This window comes from Homo sapiens, chromosome 12, assembly GCF_000001405.40.
Source record: "Homo sapiens chromosome 12, GRCh38.p14 Primary Assembly".
Taxonomy (NCBI): Eukaryota; Metazoa; Chordata; class Mammalia; order Primates; family Hominidae; genus Homo; species Homo sapiens.
The window spans coordinates 56,316,855-56,335,352 of NC_000012.12; the positions used below are offsets into that span (position 1 = coordinate 56,316,855).

General features: G+C 47.5%; 1 protein-coding gene across 13 annotated transcripts, besides 7 other annotated features; it reads right to left on the reverse strand.

Moving 5' to 3' along the window:
- Nucleotides 1-81: 81 nt before the first annotated feature.
- On the reverse strand, nt 82-17,146 carry PAN2 (poly(A) specific ribonuclease subunit PAN2). Of its 13 annotated transcripts, none has more exons than NM_001394701.1 (26): nt 17,008-17,146; nt 15,959-16,354; nt 11,618-11,787; nt 11,384-11,504; nt 11,141-11,218; nt 10,510-10,777; nt 9,763-10,105; nt 9,459-9,555; nt 8,481-8,600; nt 8,155-8,274; nt 7,727-7,855; nt 7,440-7,639; nt 7,195-7,328; nt 6,953-7,059; nt 6,646-6,744; nt 6,457-6,530; nt 6,208-6,355; nt 5,761-5,904; nt 5,569-5,628; nt 5,224-5,314; nt 3,010-3,167; nt 2,767-2,910; nt 2,454-2,633; nt 2,234-2,327; nt 1,383-1,580; nt 82-789 (listed from the first exon to the last, which is right to left on the reverse strand). In NM_001394701.1, exons 2-26 carry the CDS (start codon nt 16,238-16,240, stop codon nt 755-757), a joined length of 3,594 nt encoding a protein of 1,197 aa, NP_001381630.1. In that variant the 5' UTR covers nt 16,241-16,354; nt 17,008-17,146; the 3' UTR covers nt 82-754. The 13 variants fall into 13 exon arrangements, with proteins under 13 accessions (NP_001381630.1, NP_001159751.2, NP_055686.4 ...); NM_001166279.3 differs by having other exon boundaries at nt 7,183-7,328; NM_014871.6 differs by having other exon boundaries at nt 7,195-7,331.
- Nucleotides 4,357-4,557: a silencer, noted in NCBI's record as "peak1742 fragment used in MPRA reporter construct". NCBI's record gives its function as "represses an SCP1 promoter by STARR-seq MPRAs in K562 erythroleukemia cells {active_cell/tissue: K562}" and the evidence as "EXISTENCE:reporter gene assay evidence [ECO:0000049][PMID:32103011]".
- Nucleotides 16,982-17,151: an enhancer, noted in NCBI's record as "experimental_29684 CRE fragment used in MPRA reporter constructs". NCBI's record gives its function as "activates a minimal promoter by MPRAs in K562 erythroleukemia cells, with activity observed for both the introgressed and non-introgressed 12:56727705 or rs80317430 variant alleles {active_cell/tissue: K562}" and the evidence as "EXISTENCE:reporter gene assay evidence [ECO:0000049][PMID:34662402]".
- Nucleotides 17,051-17,082: a transcriptional cis regulatory region, noted in NCBI's record as "32 bp fragment centered on rs80317430 that was deleted by CRISPR/Cas9 targeting". NCBI's record gives its function as "positively regulates PAN2 and STAT2 gene expression in K562 erythroleukemia cells {active_cell/tissue: K562}" and the evidence as "EXISTENCE:deletion mutation evidence [ECO:0005510][PMID:34662402]".
- Nucleotide 17,067: a transcriptional cis regulatory region, noted in NCBI's record as "Neanderthal adaptively introgressed variant 12:56727705 (GRCh37/hg19 assembly coordinates) or rs80317430 in the experimental_29684 CRE". NCBI's record gives its function as "modulates activity of the experimental_29684 enhancer by MPRAs in K562 erythroleukemia cells, with lower activity for the introgressed variant {active_cell/tissue: K562}" and the evidence as "EXISTENCE:reporter gene assay evidence [ECO:0000049][PMID:34662402]".
- Nucleotides 17,277-17,496: an enhancer, noted in NCBI's record as "active region_6491". NCBI's record gives its function as "activates an Ori minimal core promoter by ATAC-STARR-seq in GM12878 lymphoblastoid cells {active_cell/tissue: GM12878}" and the evidence as "EXISTENCE:reporter gene assay evidence [ECO:0000049][PMID:35858748]".
- Nucleotides 17,277-17,583: a biological region, named in NCBI's record as "ATAC-STARR-seq lymphoblastoid active region 6491".
- Nucleotides 17,414-17,583: an enhancer, noted in NCBI's record as "experimental_29686 CRE fragment used in MPRA reporter constructs". NCBI's record gives its function as "activates a minimal promoter by MPRAs in K562 erythroleukemia cells, with activity observed for both the introgressed and non-introgressed 12:56728137 variant alleles {active_cell/tissue: K562}" and the evidence as "EXISTENCE:reporter gene assay evidence [ECO:0000049][PMID:34662402]".

Consider the following 18,498-nt stretch of genomic DNA (forward strand, 5'->3'; position numbering starts at 1 on the left):
TAACTTTGGATTCCGGACCTTTACCTTCAAAGGAAGGAGAGGAAGACTGAAGCCAGAGAACCCACACTAGCAGTTCTCTAATGAGATAAATAACAAACGATATTTTATTTTTATTTTATAAAACATGCAGTTTACAACAAATTTTTAAAAAATGGAACAAAACTTGGGACAGGCAAGTGGGATGGAAGACAGATGCTTCTCAGCCATCAGCAGGAATAAATGAAGCCGGCAGCCAAGCTTTGTCCAGGATCCAAAGGCCCTTTTGGCAATGGTATTGGCAACACTGGTTTGCTTGGGCCACCAACACTCTACTTGCTGGCCCCTCCAGGTATCCCTGAAGCAGTTGGTGACTTGTGCTAAGTCTTGAACTACTGTGGTATCCTCTGTCACTGTCCAGGACTTCAATCCCTAGCCAGCTAGGAACTTACAGTTATGGTTCCAGGAGCTTCTCTGCCTGGATATTAGTCACCCAGGATATTAAGAATACCAATTACTTTCCATCTGGGTCAATTCTAGACTCCATGTCTGTACCACTGTTTTGCAAAGAATGAAGAAGGAATGAATCTGGCTCCTAGAACCTTTGCAACAATTCTGCTGTGTTCCAGTTCAATTAATAGCACCATCTGTGACCCTAGACCCTGAGCACGTCCAGTACTGGAAGTGGACAAGGTATAGCCAACTTAGGAAGCCATCTCCCAGTTCTGGGGCTATAGAACAGTAAAGGGAGAGGGCCGTGGTTCTTTGGGAAGGGTAGTCAGAGCGCCAGCACTGAGGAGAAGACAGCTGCATCTGTCAGAGACAAAACCAAAAGCATGATTCAAGCTGAGTGGAGAAAAAGCATCTTCTCATACTTCCTATGAAGGAAAAATGCAAGAGAAAAAAGGGCATGGACCTTCCCTGAACATTTTAGACTTGGGCAAGAGGAAGTTATAGTTAATGGAGAGTTTCGATAAAATGTATTTTACTGAATGTTAGGAGGATGAAGTGCTTTGTAAACTGTTAAGTGCTATTCTCCATATGTGCAATCAAAATCCACCCAATTGGGGGCGCTCAGGCTCATGCCTGTAATCCCAGCACTTTGTGAGCCCAAGGTGGGTGGATCGCTTGAGCCCAGGAGTTTAAGACCAGCCTGGGCAACATGGCAAAATCCTGTTTCTACAAAAAGTACAAAAATTAGCTGGGTGTGGTGGTGTGTGCCTGTTGTCCCAGGTACTTGGGAGGCTGAGGTGGGAGAATCACTTGAGCCCAGGAAGTCGAGGCTGCAGTGAGCTGTAATCACGCTACTGCACTTCAGCCTGGGTGACAGAGTGAGACCCTGTCACAAACAAACAAAATACAAAATCCACCCAGTCCAGTTTCCCTTGTCCCATCCCAGGTCTTACTCTTGGGACTTGTTTGGCCCTCAGGCTCAGGCACCTTCCAGTCCATCTTTCTGCCCTTCTCATAAAGACCCTTGAGCACCTTGTGGAAAGACTCAGGCTCAGTGCCATTTTTGCTTAGCTCCAGATACTTTCGGTACAGCTGAAGGGCTGTGCGGGCATCCTCAATACTGTCATGGGTTTCCCCTTGAATCTTCAGGTCTGGGGTAAGTAAAGGTGGAATAGTTTGGGACCCAGCAAAGGGAGGTAGGAACATGTCTCCCCACTCCTACCTGACTCCAGAAAACTAAAAAGCCTGACTGCCCTTAAGGAAAATTGTCAGACATCTTCCTCAGTGCACAGAAGGGATATTGAAGTTAATTAAATCCATTAGTAACTGTCACCACTAACTGAGGGTCTCCCCTACTCCCATTTTGTCCTCTAACACTTTTCCTACTTTTTCTTTTCCCCCCATGCTTTTATTTTTTATATTTAAATTTTATTTTAGATTTGGGGTACATGTGCATGTTTGTTACATGGGTGTATCGTGTACTGGTGGGGACTGGGCTTCTGGTATCCCTAATATGCAAATAGTGAACTATGCACCCAATACGTAATTTTCAACCCTCACCCCTCACCCACCACCCCAACTTTTAGAGTCCCTAATGTCATTCTTATGTCCATATGTACTCATTGTTTAGTTCCAACTTATAAGTGAGAATATGTGGTATTTGATTTTCTGTTTCTGAGTTAGTTCACTTAGTATGATGGCCCACAGCTCCATCCATGTTGCCGCAAAGAACATGATTTCTTTTTTTTTAAATGGCTGCTTCTGCTATTAATGTAGCAGGGGCCTACAAGGCAGAGCAACTCACCCAGAAAGTACCAAGCAAGGAATCGCAGGGAAATCATTCGTTTTCGGGGCATATGGAACAGGTAGACAGTGTCAAGGACTTGGTCCTTGGGCACCTGGCAAGGATAAAAGAGGGGGAGACTTAAGGTAGGGGACCTATAATTCCCCATTCTCTAAAGGCACAATGTATACCCTGAGGGGCCCACTCTCACAAGAAGACTCTTAAAAGAGCCCTGCCAAACCATCAGGTTGATGACCCGGAAGTCCTTCTGCAGGCCATGACCCACAAACTTGACTCCAATGTCAATGAGAAAACGAAGCTTTAAGTAGGTAGACTTGAGAGTTGTTAGGTGCTTGGAGGAAATTTTGGCATCGAGGTCACCAGGCTTTATACCCGAGTATTGAGTCAAGTAATCCACCACCTAGGAATAGAGAAAAGGACAAGCCTTTTTCAGGAAGTGAGATGGAGTCTTCCCCTATCACTCTTCCCTGGGTTCTTGAGCACTGTAAGTAAGCACCAGGGTGTGCCTCACTTGCATCTCCATATCCTAATACCTGCTCCTGGGTAGAGATGTAGTCATCAATGAAGGGGATACCCTCATTGGGTCCCTGGCCCCGAACACAGGTAATCCTGGCTACTGACATCTGGCTTGGTTTAATGGTAGACTTGGTACCATCACTGCGTAACTCTGCTTCCTCCTACATGAGAAGAGTTAATAAGGAAATCAGAGAAATGCTTACAACTCCTAATATCCTCAGCGTTCTCTTCCAATGCCCCATCCCTTTGGTCTTGGTTACCTCATTAAGGGTGACAAACTCAGCATCCAGACCCACCAGGTCCCCAATCTGTGGCATCTCATTCAGCATCAGTGGAATAAAGGTAGTATGTGTTTTCCGCTGCTTCCGTGCCAGCGAGGCTTCAGCCAGCAAGACACTTGCCTCAATAGGGTTCTTGACTAGAAGGGAGAATGCAGAGGACACAGGGCTTGGATAGGGAAGTGACTAGGGGAGAGAAGCCCAGTGTGGCTGATCATCGACTCTGGGTCTTCACTGTGATCCCTCAATAATCAAAGCACGTGAGAAAAAAGATCATGTCTGATAAATGGGACAGGTAGACAGAGCAGGTCACATCACAAAATTATCAACAAACATGCTGAGAAAAAACCAGAAAAGACCACAGAGAAGAAAGAATAAGATTTTCACTTGGACCTTAGTTTACAGAATCCAGAAAAAGGTTACAGAGAAACTATGGTTTAAAGGTACCAAATAGGTACTTAATAAGGAGCTCATAGCCAGGCGCGGTGGCTAATGCCTGTAATCCCAGCACTTTGGGAGGCCGAGGCGGGCGGATCACCTGAGGTCAGGAGTTTGAGACCAGCCTGCCCAACATGGTGAAACCCCGTCTCTACTAATTAGACACAAAAAAAAATTAGCCGGGCGTGGTGGCACATGCCTGTAATCCCAGCTACTTGGGAGGCTGAGGCAGGGGAATCGCTTGAACCCGGGAGGCAGAGGTCGCAGTGAGCTGAGATCATGCCATTGCACTCCAGCCTGGGCAACAAGAGCGAAACTCTGTCTCAAAAAAAAGAATAATTAGATGTAACATCATAACCTAAGCCATTCTGATCAAACATCCCCCCCTCATCTCATTTCCACTCCACTCTCAAGACTTACAGCTGCTTTTTTTTTTTTTTTTTTTTTTTAAGACAGGGTCTCAGGCTGGGCACTGTGGCTCACGCCTGTAAACCCAGCACTTTGGAAGGCCAAGGAGGGTGGATCACGAGGTCAGGAGTTCAAGACCAACCTGGCCAACATGGTGAAACCCTGTCTCTACTAAAAATACAAAAAATTAGCCGGACATGGTGGCAGGTGCCTGTAGTCCCAGCTACTCGGGAGGCTGAGGCAGGAGAACTGCTTGAACCCGGGAGGTGGAGGTCGCAGTGAGCCAAAATTGTGCCATTGCACTCCAGCCTGGGTGACAAGAGTGAAACTCTGTCCAAAAAAAAAAAAAAAAGCAGTCTCATCCTGTTGCCCAGGCTGGAGTACACTGGTGCAATCATGGCTCACTCACTGCAGCCTTGACCTCCTGGGCTCAAGTGATCCTCCCGCCTCAGCTTCTCCAATAGCTGGGACCACAAGTATATGCCACCACACTCAGCTAAATTTTTTTTTTTTTTTTTGAGACAGGGTTTCACTCTCGTCACCCAGGCTGGAGTGCAATGATGCAATCTTGACTCACTGAAATCTCTGACTCCCAGGCTGAAGTGATTCTCCTGCCTCAGCCTCCCAAGTAGCTGGGACAACAGGAGCACATCACCATACCCAGCTACTTTTTGTATTTTTTGTAGAGACAGGGTTTCACCATGTTGCCCAAACTGGTTTTGAACTCTTGAGCTCAAGTGATCTGCCCGCCTCAGCCTCCCAAAATGCTGGGATTACAGGCCATAAGCCACTGTGCCTGGCCTATACTAGGCTAATTAAAAAAAAAAAAAAAATTTTTTTAGGCTGGGTGTAGTTGCTCACGCCTGTAATCCCAGCACTTTGGGAGGCTGAGGCGGGCAGATCATGAGGTCAGGAGTTCGAGGCCAGCCTGACCAACATGGTGAAACCCTGTCTCTACTAAAAATACAAAAAAATTAGCCGGGTGTGGTGGTGGGCGTCTGTAATCCCAGCTACTCAGGAGGCTGAGGCAGGAGAATCGCTTGAACCCAGGAGGCAGAGGTTGCAGTGAGCCGAGATTGCGCAATTGCACTCCAGCCTGGGTGACAGAGCAAGACTGCATCTCAAAAAAAAAAAAAAAATTTTTTTTCAAAGAGATGGGATCTTGCTATGTTGCTCAGGCTGGATTTCGCACTTCTAAATTTAAGGTCTGATGAGCAGGAATCTCTTTAGTATCTCCAGAAATATTAACACTGGTTACCAATCCTAAGTACTTGCAAGCAATGTCCCAGATCTCACCCTGAAGCCCAATCTAAACTGTCCACACACTTGGGTCTACTATGTAGCACTTACTGTTCAGGTTGTATCTGGAATTGAGATTCCGTTTGACATAATAAAGGATTGCAGGTACTTTCCAATTCATGTCAAACTGCACAGCTTCATGCTATAGAAGAGAAAAAGCACTTATGGCTAATGTATATCACCCTTTTCCTTTTCCCCCACTTCAGACGGAGGCCAGGACTCAGGTGCTAGTTTTTGTTTTTTTTCAGGTGCTATTTTTAAGTGCTAATGGTTTTTATTCCTGAGGATTCCTTCCTCCCTCCCTGTTGAATCTGCCTGGCATTCTATAGAGCCCTAAAGATAAGGATGCTAGGAAAAGGGGAAATGAAAGAAGAAACAGAACATGTTGCAACTAACCTTATCAATAGGTTCAATAAGAAAGTCATTGAACAGATACCACTGCTGGTGAGTAACGCCCTATGGAAATACAAAGAAAGCCTGTGGCGATACAAATTGATGGCTGGACCACTCTGTCTCAGACTCAAGGACAGATCTGGGACTCACTGTGGCCATCCCAGGAGTGTTCCTGCCCTCTACAACCTCACTCACCTCCTTGCGCTGGTGGTAGGTCTCTCCAACTTTGATGTGAGCCACCAGGCTGCCCCCTGTGCGTGAGTCCAGGATGTGTACCACAGTAGCCATCAGGTCATACACATAGACACCATGCTCCTCCTCTGCCCTGGCTGGGCCCCACTGTGAGGGGGGTACCCAGGCTGCTAAGCTAAGTTTAAGGATGGGGAAGGGAGGGGAATGGGGACAGAGGACAGGGAGTTGGGGGTATGGGGGATGGGGGACCAGGGTGGGTTATCTCCATCCTAGCCCATCTAGGACCCCAACACTGAACTGAGTGACTATGGAAAATCCCCTAACAGGTAAATACTAGGCCTTATTCTCTTCCTTTTCCCTCTGCTAAGTTTCACCTTCCCCTGCCCTCCTTTACCTTCTGCCCCACCTTCTCTCCCTTATTCCCTTTCCTCTTCCCGGTTTTTCAACAACCTGCATCTCATCCCCATCAGTCCAATTGCAAACATCCAGCCCTTTGTTTTTGGTCATCTTCATGCGAATGGAGAAAGGAAGCCAGACGTTCTTCAACTCCTCAATGGAGGGACACACCAGCACACCCTCTGGACTCCCTAGTTCCTTCCTATCAGGTCAGAAGAATTGGAAATTTGTTCCGAAAGAGGTCTTGATAAGAGGAACCACTGGGCAATTCAATCCTTTGACAACTCCCAAGACAGCACCTACCAATCAGCCAAAGCAAATTCCTTGTTCTTGGAGATTTCCCCACCGTGTTTCTTTACTGCCATCTTGAAGGCAACCTGAACACAGAAGAAAAACATCCAGTTCTTCAGGAATGTAATCATATATGGAGGTCAGAAGGGGGATAAAATGAAAAATTATTCCGGAAGCCTTGTTTCTAGTCTGAGTCCTTACCTCAGCCTGCATTCTCCAGAAATCAGCCTCTTTTGAGCTGTTCACCTCACAATTGATGACAAGAATATCTGGCAGATGGCGGATGTTGCGGGTCTGAATCTGAGAGGAAGAAACAAACAAGGAATGGCAGGGAATGTACAGGAAAAGGAGTCTGGACAGGGACCTGGGTCTGCGTCTTCAAACTGGGATTCCTCACTCCACCAGAGATCCCTGGATGGCAGTGCTGACAGAGCCAGCCCCACATGGGATAGTGGCTGAATCTCCATGGCAGGACCAGGACTCTAGTCCAGTCCAACAGTCCACTCACCGTGGGCTGGTACTTTTCACAGGTGTCACACCAGGCCTGTGTATTCTGGTCCAGGCAGATGCTTCGCTTCAGCACCTGAGCAAAGTCATAGTTCTTCCCAGTTTTATCTGAGGGAAAATTAGATGCTATACTCCTGGTTCTCCCCTCTACCCACAGTTAGTCCCCAACACCCTCTCCCTGATATTACAGGACATTTTGGGGAGCCTTCCCAACTGAGCTGAAGGGTATACCACTTTTGCTACCATCAGGGTAGGAGAGTGTGAAAAGCAGAGTGGATGAGGCTCGCACGGTCTCACTGCCACAGCGGCAGAGGCTGCAGTTCTCCATCTCACAGCTGAAGAGCTGCCCAATAACAGAGTCCCCCGATGAGCAAAAGCTGCTAAGAGTGGAGAGGATGATATATGCACATTGAGGAAGTTAGGAGACCTTTTAAATCACAGAGGGGCCTGTCATGATGGCTTTAACTATTTCTATCCTGATTTCATACCTGCCTCCAGCACCTCGATAAGCCTGTGGTATTTCCAGCTCCTGCATATCTTGATGCAGTTGAGTGAGAATGAAGCGATTCCACCTCTGAATGAGCCTGGCCAGATTGCCCTTGCCTGAGGCCTCATCTGAGTCAGCCAGGATTAGACCGAGGGCTGAGGCCTCAGGAATAGTACGGAATGCCCGAAGAAAATTATTGCCCTGGAAATGTGTTGGTGGAAAGGGGTTATTTTGTCTTTTGTGTCCACCTTCCTTCCCCTTCCATTTTAAGTGTCTCCAAGTACTGACCTGGCAAGGGTCACCACGAGAGAGGTCCAACATGTGAAACAGGAAGCCCAGCTCACATGCCAGACAGAACTCCTTCTGGCAAAGGTGGTTTTGAATTAGACAGCGTACAGGCTCCAGGAAATAGAGCACCTGGAGGGAAAAGCAGAAGAACTGATGTAGGAAACTGGCCTGGGGGTGAGGAGAAATATGGAGGTTAAGTGAGCTGGTGGAGAAAATGTCCCAGAAGCAGGAGTCCACCGAAGCAGTGAGTCCACCAAACCGGTGGAGCTCAGAGGAGACTTGAAAGTTGTAGAGGCAAGAAAGAATTGTAGAGGAGACCATGGTAAAGAGAACACGGCTGAGGAGACCTGGAAAGAGCAGGGTCGAGAGCCATAGGGAAGAAGAAAAGCAGCAGGCACGTTCAAGTTACAGGAATACCCAACCCTTACCTGGATCATGCAGTTACAGTAGGCGTTGGGAATGTGGGGCTCTAATCCAGCAAACAAGGTCTTATTGTAGTGTTTGAAGTCAAAGTCCTCCAGCCCTAGCTTGGAATATTTGATGGTCACCTAAGGTAGAAATTGTCTGAGCAAGACAAGGATATTCTCAGAGTCCCCAAATCTTTCCAGTAGCCACAGCCTTTCCTAGAGCCTTCCTCCTGGGTCCAGGGTGGTAGTTGAAGGCCTCCTGACTGAGTCCTTCAATCCTTTCTCATATGACTTCCTTCCCAGGGTACCTTTCCCCACATCCCACAGGCCCTGATGTCCCCCAGCACCTTGCGGTATTTCTTAGAAACCATGTGGAGATGTGGTTCCTCTTCTCGTCCTACTGGTGACTCAGTGACCTGGCTGAAGCTGTCAAATTCACTGTCTGACTCCTTGAGTCTGTAGGGTATCTAGGGATTTTAGGAAGAGGTAACCTTGTTGGATGTCTTGTCATCTTTGGCTTCACACTCATTTATCCCAACATTGAAACAGCCACCAAGTCCTGAACCTTCTATATTCATAGCACTCTCAGCATCCGCTGCTTCCTTTCTATTTCCACTGCCATCACTCTGCTTCAGCACAGATGGACAACTGTGATGGCGTCCACACTGGTCTCCCTATGTTCACTCTGTCCAGCACACCACTACCAAATTAACCCTTGCAGAATGCTGCTTTCTGTGTATTACTTCCTCTATTATAGACTGGTGTTCAAAGCTTCGCAATCTGGCCACTTCTAATTTTAATCGCTCACTACATCCCAATACCAACAGCTACTCCGGCCAGACTGGTATACTCATGTAGTCCCCCTCAGATATGTGTTTTGCATTTATGCCTCTTGAGATCTTTACTAACACTCTTCTCTCATCTTGGATATTCTCCTCTGTTACTATCTACTTAACTGATATCCCACCTTTCCAGCTTAATACCCAGCTCTTTCATTACACCTTCCTTGGTCACTTTAGCCTGGAATAACATTTTTCCTCCAAACAGCTCTGGCACTAAATGCTTATGACATTCCTTCAGCATTTAACAACAGAACGTAATTTCTGATATGGCTATGTCTTCTCTTCACCAACCAAATACTAAACTTCCTAACAGCAAGGACCCTAGCTTCTCTATCTTTGAATCCTCCCTAACACCTAGCATAGTTCCATCAATTTGGTTGGTTACCAACAGGATCTAAAAACAAAAGAAAGACTAGTAAAGGAAAAAGATAGGAGAAACTTCAGTGGGCCGGGGTCGGGGCTGACCCTCCACTCTGAACACACCTGATTGCGCAGCCTGGTGCGGGGATTGGGCGCATAGCCAATGAAGCCCACCTTCTTCATGGTGCGCAGAATCTCTGCATCCACGGGTGGTGCTCGCCTACAATCCAGCATAGTTCTAGGACTTAAAGAGTTGTGGTGTACACTGGTCCACTCCCCAATCCCCAAGGGTCCAGAGAAAAAGAAAATACTGAAGGTAGACAAAAATCAGGAAAGTAGTAGAATAACAACAGGGCTAGCAGAGAATTCTGGTATCTTGGCCCTTTCCCTGTCCCTCCCGCCTTTTGGCCCAGAGGTAGGGTACAACCTGGGAGCTGGAGCAGAGTTGGCAGCAGGCCAATCAGAGAGAAGTGTGTCAGTGGTGAGTGGGACAGGGATGAGGGAAAGAGGCAGCAGGTCCTGGCTCCAGTCCAGAGGAGGCAGTGAGTCCACGAGACACGGCAAAGCAAACTCAGTCTCACGGGAGTAGGGGTTGAAGGAAGGCTCCGGGGAATCAGTCCAGAGGTGCACACAGCCCTCAGAATCCCCAAAGGCCAGAGCCTGCTTGCTGGCTGACACATCAAATGTCATTAGCAGAGGCCCCACAGGATTCACATGAAAGATATCGGCTGGGTTGGCCAGGCCTGTGGGTTCACAGAATTGGCACTGCCCTACAAAGGAGGAAGAAACCCACTGAGCCCTAGAAAGTGAAAGGGAGCCATATTCTTATGCCCTTCCTATCCTCTTCCCCTGATTTCAGGACAAGATGGGCCCCAAATCCATGCCTAGAGACAGAATGCCACTTCGTGCCTTCCATAAACCACAGATGGTTCGCTACTCAGCAAAGAGCAATTCTACAGTTATTTTGCCTACTTTATCTTTACCTTTTTCCATGTTCCTCATATTCAAGAAAATAAAAGCTCTAATCTCTGGCCAAACCCAAGTAAAACCTTGGGACCCTGATGAAAGGTTACTTCTTTCCCCAACAAAGAGGTTTCAGGATGAGTACTCCTTCGGGTTCTAGCTCTCCTTTGCTCATCGATCCCTCCTACCCAATCCCATATGCCCTTCATACCTGACTGAGAGATGATAGCAAGACGAGAAGTATATGTAGGAATGAAGCGCAAGAAGGCAGGATCCACATGTACTTGAAGTGGTGTGATGGCACGCATCATGCGCAAATCATACACCTTGAGGAAACGGTCGCAGGCCAGGCCAGTGAGGCGGCTGGAGAAGCCACAGGCAGCTAGCAGGTTGCCATGCACATCAAAGTCTGACAGACTTCCTGAGAAGGCATCAAACTCATGTTCCACCTTAAAAGTACGGAGGTCTCTCAGGGAAACCTAGAAAAAAAAAATTCAGTTATCTGCAAATTCTGTTATCAGGAAAAATACCTGCCACCTACCTAACCCAGTGGGGTCCCTACCAAAGGAACTAGGGCTTTAGGACAGGGAAAGTTAAAGCACAGAAAAGGCAAACAGAGAAGCCCAGAGCCAGAAGGGGCTTCAGGGAGACTTCATTATCATAGAAAACATCAAGCTGCAAAATAATCTCATAGTAGAACATCACTGAGTAGGAAGTGAATTCACTCCACTCATCCCTCACCTCCAATCCAACTACACCCCAGAGTTAAGGGAAAGCAGATCGCAATCAGGTATCTAGTGAAACAGGGCCCTGCAGTGGGAGGAGAAATGGAACTTGGCCACCTTGCCAGACGTGTGGCCGCAGAAGAAGAAGCGATTTGTCTGTCTCATGATGGTGACTCCAGGCGTCTCTACTGCATACTGGAGAGGGAAGCAGGAAAAACCAGTGAGAAGAATGATTTTTCCCACAGACCAAGGGAACAGAAAGGTCACACCCACATCTCAGGCACATTACCAGCCCAAGCATACCCTGCCCCCGCAACAACCTCAGACCCCACATAGGTCTTTCTTGCCCCAAGCTTGTACCTTCTGAGTCTCCTGGACAGTGTTAAGATCAATCTCTATTATGTGATTCTGCAGCCCACCAACGAGTAGAGTGCTGCTGTCAGTCAGTAGGAGACTGTGCATATCCTCATTCTCATCCAGCCTGGTGGGGAGAGGAAAGGCTAAGGGGCCCAGGCCTTACAAGCTGCCAATCCCTTAGCCTTCCCACCCTATGAGGCATCCTCGTTCCTAGTCCAGAGCTGAGAAGCCACTTACAGGTAATCAAATATAATGAGGCCCCCACGGGCCATATACTTGAGGTTGTTCTTGGTGAGAAAAAGGATACCATTCTCCAGGCTCTGGATCTGCCGAATATCATCACTGCCATTGACTTGAAAGGATGAGTAGCGCTCCAAGGCTGGGCCAAAAAATGAAGTGGCATGGCCCTATAGAGGACAAAGACAACAGAGACACTTAGAGTGGAGGGGCAAGGGCCACCCTACGGCCAGGTCAGGGACTGAACATGGCTCAGCTTGGATCCTTTCTTGCTTGGCCTTTGTGACTAGGAGCAACTGGGGCAAAAGGCTAGGAACCAGTCAATCTTAGTGATAAAGACACTGATAATACTGTCTTATGTTTGTTTAATGTGTTACACAGCATTTTGGTAAACTCTACCTCATTTTGTCCTCACAATGACCCTGCTGAATAGGTAATGGCTCACTTGGTTAGAACAGTATATAGAAGGTCAGGGACATGGTCCAATTCTCTACTGGCCAGCTGGCTTTCTTATGTTTCACATCTGGGAGGATGTGCATAAGGTTATATGCAAATACTATATCATTTTCTATAACGGATTTAGGCATCCTTGAATTTTGGTATCTGGTATCTTTAGATCTTGGAACCAATCCCACATGGATACCAAGAAGATGATGGTAACTACTAAACCTCCTTAAACATCCCATCATAACCTCAAACTCATGACATCCTAAATTAAATTCACCATTTTTATTTCTATTTTTCTTACTGTATTCTCTATGGTACCAAGATCTACCTAGTTGACCAAGCCATATATCTGACAGTCAAGTCCTATGTATTTTTTTCCTAACCACTAGATAACCAAGGATTTTTTAAAATTTTTATTTATGTATTTATTTTTTGAGATGGAGTTTCACTCTTGTTGCCCAGGCTGGAGTGCAATGGCACGATCTCAGCTCACTGCAACCTCTGCCTCCCAGGTTCAAGCAATTCTCCTGCCTCCCAAGTAGCCAGGATTACAGGCATGCACCACCACACCTAGCTAATTTTTTGTATTTTTAGTAGAAAGGGGGTTTCACCATGTTGGCCAGGCTGGTTTCGAACTCCTGACCTCAGGTGATCCACCTGCCTCGGCCTCCCAAAATTCTAGGATTACAGGCATCAGTCACCGCACCTGGCCTATTTTGCTTCCTAAATATTTCCCAAATCTGAGGCTGGGTGCTGTGGCTCACACTGTAATCCCAGCACTTTGGGAGGCCAAGGCAGGTGGATCACTTGAGGCCAGGAGTTTGACACCAGCCTGGCCAACATGGTGAAACGTCATCTCTACTAAAAATACAAAAATTAGCTGAGCATGGTGGCACACACCTGTAGTCCCAGCTACTCAGGAGGCTGAGGCAGGAGGATTACTTTAACCTGGGAGGCAGAGGTTGCAGTGAGCTGAGATGGCACCACTTCACTCCAACCTGGGCAACAGAGTGAGATTCCACCTAAAAAAAAAAAAAAAAAAAAGCCCTTCAGTGGCCTGAAGGTTCAAGTCCAAGGTCCAAGCTCTTTTAACACAGCATATGAAGTTCTCTAGAATGTTCCTTCCCCAGATATCTACATGGCTCCTTCCCTCCCTTCTAGAGGGCCTAGAATAGTAAAGGAGAGGCACAAGGATAAGTTAGAGGCATGGAGCTCTGCCTCTTTGTTCCCCTTTTTGGTGCTGCATCCAAGTCTCTATTCAAATGTTACTTTATCAGAGAGAACTCCTGACCAACTATTTAAAGTAGCAACATTGTTTCTAAAAGAGCCATTAGGAAAAAAGATTAAAATTAAAACAAAACACTACAAAACCAAACAAAATAGCAACATTTCCCACCCTTCATTACCTCAACCCCCTTACTCAACTGTATTTTTCTTTTTTTTTTTTTTTTTTTTTTTTGAGACGGAGTCTCGCTCTGTCGCCCAGGCTGGAGTGCAGTGGCGGGATCTCGGCTCACTGCAAGCTCCGCCTCCCGGGTTCACGCCATTCTCCTGCCTCAGCCTCCCAAGTAGCTGGGACTACAGGCGCCCGCCACTACGCCCGGCTAATTTTTTGTATTTTTAGTAGAGACGGGGTTTCACCGTTTTAGCCGGGATGGTCTCGATCTCCTGACCTCGTGATCCGCCCGCCTCGGCCTCCCAAAGTGCTGGGATTACAGGCGTGAGCCACCGCGCCCGGCCTGTATTTTTCTTTTAATAGAGATGGGGTCTTGCTATGTTGCCCAGACTGGTATTGAACTCTTAGGCTCAAGCAACCCTCCCACCTTGGCTTATCAAAGTGCCGGGATTACAGGTGCCACTGTGCCTGGCCTCATTGTATTTTTCTTTTTCTTTTTTTTGAGACGGAGTCTTGCCCTGTCACCCAGGCAGGAGTGCAGTGGTGTGATCTCAGCTCACTGCAACCTCTGCCTCCCAGGTTCAAGCAATTCTCCTGCTTCAGCCTCCCAAGTAGCTGGGATTATAGGAACCTGCCACCACACCCAGCTAATTTTTATATTTTCAGTAGAGACGGGGGTTTCACCATGTTGGCCAGGTTGGTCTTGAATTCCTGACCTCAGGTGATCCGCCTGCTTCGGCCTCCCAAAGTGCTGGGATTACAGGTGTGAGTCACCATGCCCAGCCAGCATTTTTCTTAACAGTACTAATCAACACCTGATGTATTGTAATGTTTTTCTGTTTACTGCTTATTCCAAACCTAGACCTTAGGGCAAGGTCTGACACCTAGCATGTGGCTCAAAAAAACACTGGTTGAATGAATAAATGTCTACCTCTTCCAGTCCGGTAAATCCTAATTGCTTGTAGTTCCTGAATTTTGTACTCAGCAAGCTTTGTAGTATCTTGGGAATCTTTGTTTATCCTATGCTAAGACGCCTTTTCCCATCTTTCTCACCTGATTTCTACTCATGTTGCAAGACTCAGTTCAAGGGTTACTTCCTCCTCGATGCCCTTTCTGACTATTCTCCATCCTGTCCAGCATCCAGTACAGATTTTCACACTGGCGCTTAGTACCATGAAATTATCTGGTTTTGTATATGTTTTTTACCTCACTGTCCTGTAAACTCCTTGAGGGCAAGGATTATGTTTTATTTAGCTTTATTCACAGTGCCTAGCATAGCAGTAGACACTGCCTATTAAACTGAATGAATCACACACAAAAATTCATCCCTTCTAATGGAAAAACAATTCATGACCAAAGAAGTCAATCAGTAAATGAAGGACAGCGTTTTTTTTTTTTTTGTTTTTTGTTTTTTTTTGAGACGGAGTCTCGCTCTGTCACCCAGGCTGGAGTGCAGTGGCGTGATCTCGGCTCACTGCAACCTCTGCCTCCCAGGTTCAAGCGATTCTCCTGCCTCAGCCTTCCGAGTAGCTGGGACTACAGGCGCCTGCCACCATGCCCAGCTAATTTTTTGCATTTTTAGTAGAGACAGGGTTTCACCATGTTAGCCAGGATGGTCTCGATCTCCTGACCTCGTGATCCGCCTGCCTCAGCCTCCCAAAGTGCTGGGATTACAGGAGTGAGCCACCGGTCCCGGCCGGACAGCACAGTATTTCTTACAAAGTCTTTGGGCACCATAGCATATTGGCAATACGGGTACAGATTTTAAAAAATTAAGATTGATAACTGCTCTGAGAGATATTAAAATCAGCCAGAGAAGACAAAATGATTCAATGGAAGATATGCAGAATCATTCATTAAATATTCTATAATAATAAAAATAGAAAACACAGGTGGGGCAACAGCAATTGAGATTAGATTTGGATGGCTACAGACTAAGTGATGGGTACAACTATCAAGATAAATCAAAACACTGGATGGGCAATTGTGACAAAAGTGGGATGCTGGCCAGGTGCCGTGGCTCACACCTGTAACCCCAGCACTTTGGCAGCTCTATGCAGGAGGACCATTTGAGCTCAGGAGTTTGAGACAAGCCTGGGCAACATAGTAAGACTAAAAAATTTTTTAAAAATTAGCTGGTCTTGGTTGCGCATGCCTGTAGTCCCAGCTACTTGAGATGCTAAAGTGGGAGGATTGTGTGAGCCCAGGAGATTGAGGCTGCAGTGAGCCATGATCACATTACGCCATTGCACTCTGGCCTAGGCGACAGAGCAAGACCCTGTCTCGAAAAAAAAAAAAAAAAAAAGGGATGCCTCCTGAGAAAGAATATGTCATTTACTCCTAGATCCTAGATTCTCCCTTTATCCCTCCAACCAGACCCAGCTGTCTCATCACTACAACTCCTCGGTACTGGCTATCTGCAAAGCAGCTTCCTTGGGTTAAGACCAGATAAAGACCTTCAACATCTTTCAACCCTCACAAAGGGGTACAGTTCTTACCCCGTGGCTCCCCACCCACAGCATCTCCTCGTGCAAGTCAAAGTGGGAGACGGAAACAGGTACACCCACTTCAGCCACCACGCTGTGCAATTCAGAGTAGACACCTTCCATTATGTGCACTGATTCCTGGACGGGAAGAGCCTCCAAGGCCACTCCCTCTGGGTCCAGCTCCACATTCTGTAGCAGACTTGGGTTCAGGTGGGCATCCAAGACAGGGTCCAGGGCAGAATGCATGGCTGGGGCATATTCTGCCAGTCCAGGGTCCAGACCCTCAAAGTTCATGATGACGATGGCAGCTTACACCTGTGTCACACCCTCCCTTACCACAGTCCCTTTAGATGCCTGACCCAACCTTCAGCAAGACAGCACCGATGGGCCTAGAATGGACATCCTGGCCTGTAAGGGGAAAGAGGTAGCTGAGTCAAGGGTAGGCCCAGGTACTGGTACTTAGGGTCTTCTAGGTTATGGGGGCAGGAGGGAGATGAGGCAGGCATGAGGGATGAGACTGCCAGCCAAAGGATGAAGCAGGCGGGGGAGGGATGGGCAGTGGGGGTGGAGGTGGTAGAACTGTTGTCCCTATCCCTCCTCCGCTAGGCCCTCTGTACTCTCCACCACCCCATTATCTAACCTAATCCTTGACTTCCCTTTCTTCTCACTTCGGACTGCTCACTTGCCTTGTTCAGCCCTGAATCATCAGGTGAAGGGAGCGAGAATTGCGGGGGTTGGAGTTAGGTAGAGGGATTTAAGGTGCTTTCTCCCAGAATTGGGGGTGAAAACGGGTGGATTGGACGGTGGGGAGAACGAGAAGTCAGTTTCCTAGAATCCTCTCCAATAGCTACCCAGGATTCTCTAGAGGAAAACAATAATGGCCAGTTACCCACAATTGGGGCGGGGGCAGGGGAAGGTGACGGAAACGGCTAGTTACCCAGAATTCTCTGGGGGAACCAGAAAAATCGGTTATCTAGAATTCTCCCACGGCAGCGGTGAGGAGGGGGATAGGGCAAGGGTCAGATGTGTTCCTGGGATGCTTACGGGGAATGGGTCATTACCAAGATTTCTCCATGGCGGATATTTTGGAGCGCGTGGAATTAGAACGAGTAGGGGGAGCGCAAGCGCTGTCAGCTCCGCGGGAAATTCCAGTTTCCCCAGTTCTCCCCCACGCCTAGGGCTCAACCTAACCACTACGGCGCCAAGGACCGGGGTCCGAGGCGCTTCTTCCAATCAAGAAGGGCTCGGGGCATATTTTAGCCAATCAGAAGGGCTCCGGGCGCATCTAAGCCAATCAGAAGGAGCCAGGTACGGCGACCCCAGGAGAGAGCGTGTGACGCACGCGCCGGAAAAAGAGGTTACGGGGCGCCGGTGGGACAAACGCAGCCAGACGCCGGACTTGTTGGGTGGCGTTAGAAAGTAACTCTGTTTTTAGTCTTCTTGAACAAAATTACGTCTAGGTTTGAAAACCAAACTTTTATGCTTTCTATAACTTTAGGAACTCTAAAATAAGGGACACACAAGGCAAAGCACTAGGAGTCGCTGTTGGGTATTCCCAGCGGGGCTTAGTCTACCTCCTCTTCCTGCGGTGCCCTAGTGAGCCACTCCGCCACCTCTGACCCTGTTGCCCCCAAAACTCGCTGGCATTTCCTATTATTTCCAGATATGGGAGAGAAAAAAAAGGAAGCGGGAGCCGGACTCCTGACACAGTCCAAGTGGCTGCATCTTCTACAGGCATCCATCTGAAACTCCCATCCGTGATTGTTCCCTCCCCAGAGACCCCGGTAACATTCCCGGGTAACAAGATGCCCCTGGTTATCAAATTCCCCTAGCTCTTGAGGCTGGCTGGACGTTATCCCTCAGAGGGGGATGAGCATGGCAAATTGGGACTTGTTATTCTGAAGGATTCGTGGGTCCTGTGAACTCTAATTACTTTGAAATGGGTCTAGGTTGTGAGATGTCTCAGAGCACTTTAGCTCAGCTGTTATTACTGTTTCTAAAGGCCACATAAAGGGACTCTGATGGGAGACATTCCTCATGGAGGATTCAATTCTATAACATTTCTCTCAATAAAGGCTGGTAAATAGACCTTCATTAAAGGAACCAAGAATTTAAATTTCTAGGACTCAGAGGGGTGGGGTCCTATACCCAGTCAGAGATCCTACCTAGAGCCTAGACCAAGAGAAAAACACAGATGGTCTCTCAAACTGATTTGATCTGACTTCGCAGGTCATTAGATATAGAATCTCCGAAAAAGGTGGATGCTGAGAGACATAGACAGTTCCTACACTTTAAGAAATCTCCATCTTGAGGTCTCAAATTGAGAAAGACTTAACAGACCCATGAGAGTTACAGATCCCTAATAACCTGGGCTAAATAATCCATGTCTGCCGGGCGCAGTGGCTCACGCCTGTAATCCCAGCACTTTGGGAGGCCGAGGTGGGCGGATCACCTGAGGTCGGGAGTTCGAGACCAACCTGACCAATATGGAGAAACCCCGTCTCCACTAAAAATACAAAATTAGCCGGGCCTGGTGACGGGAGCCTGTAATC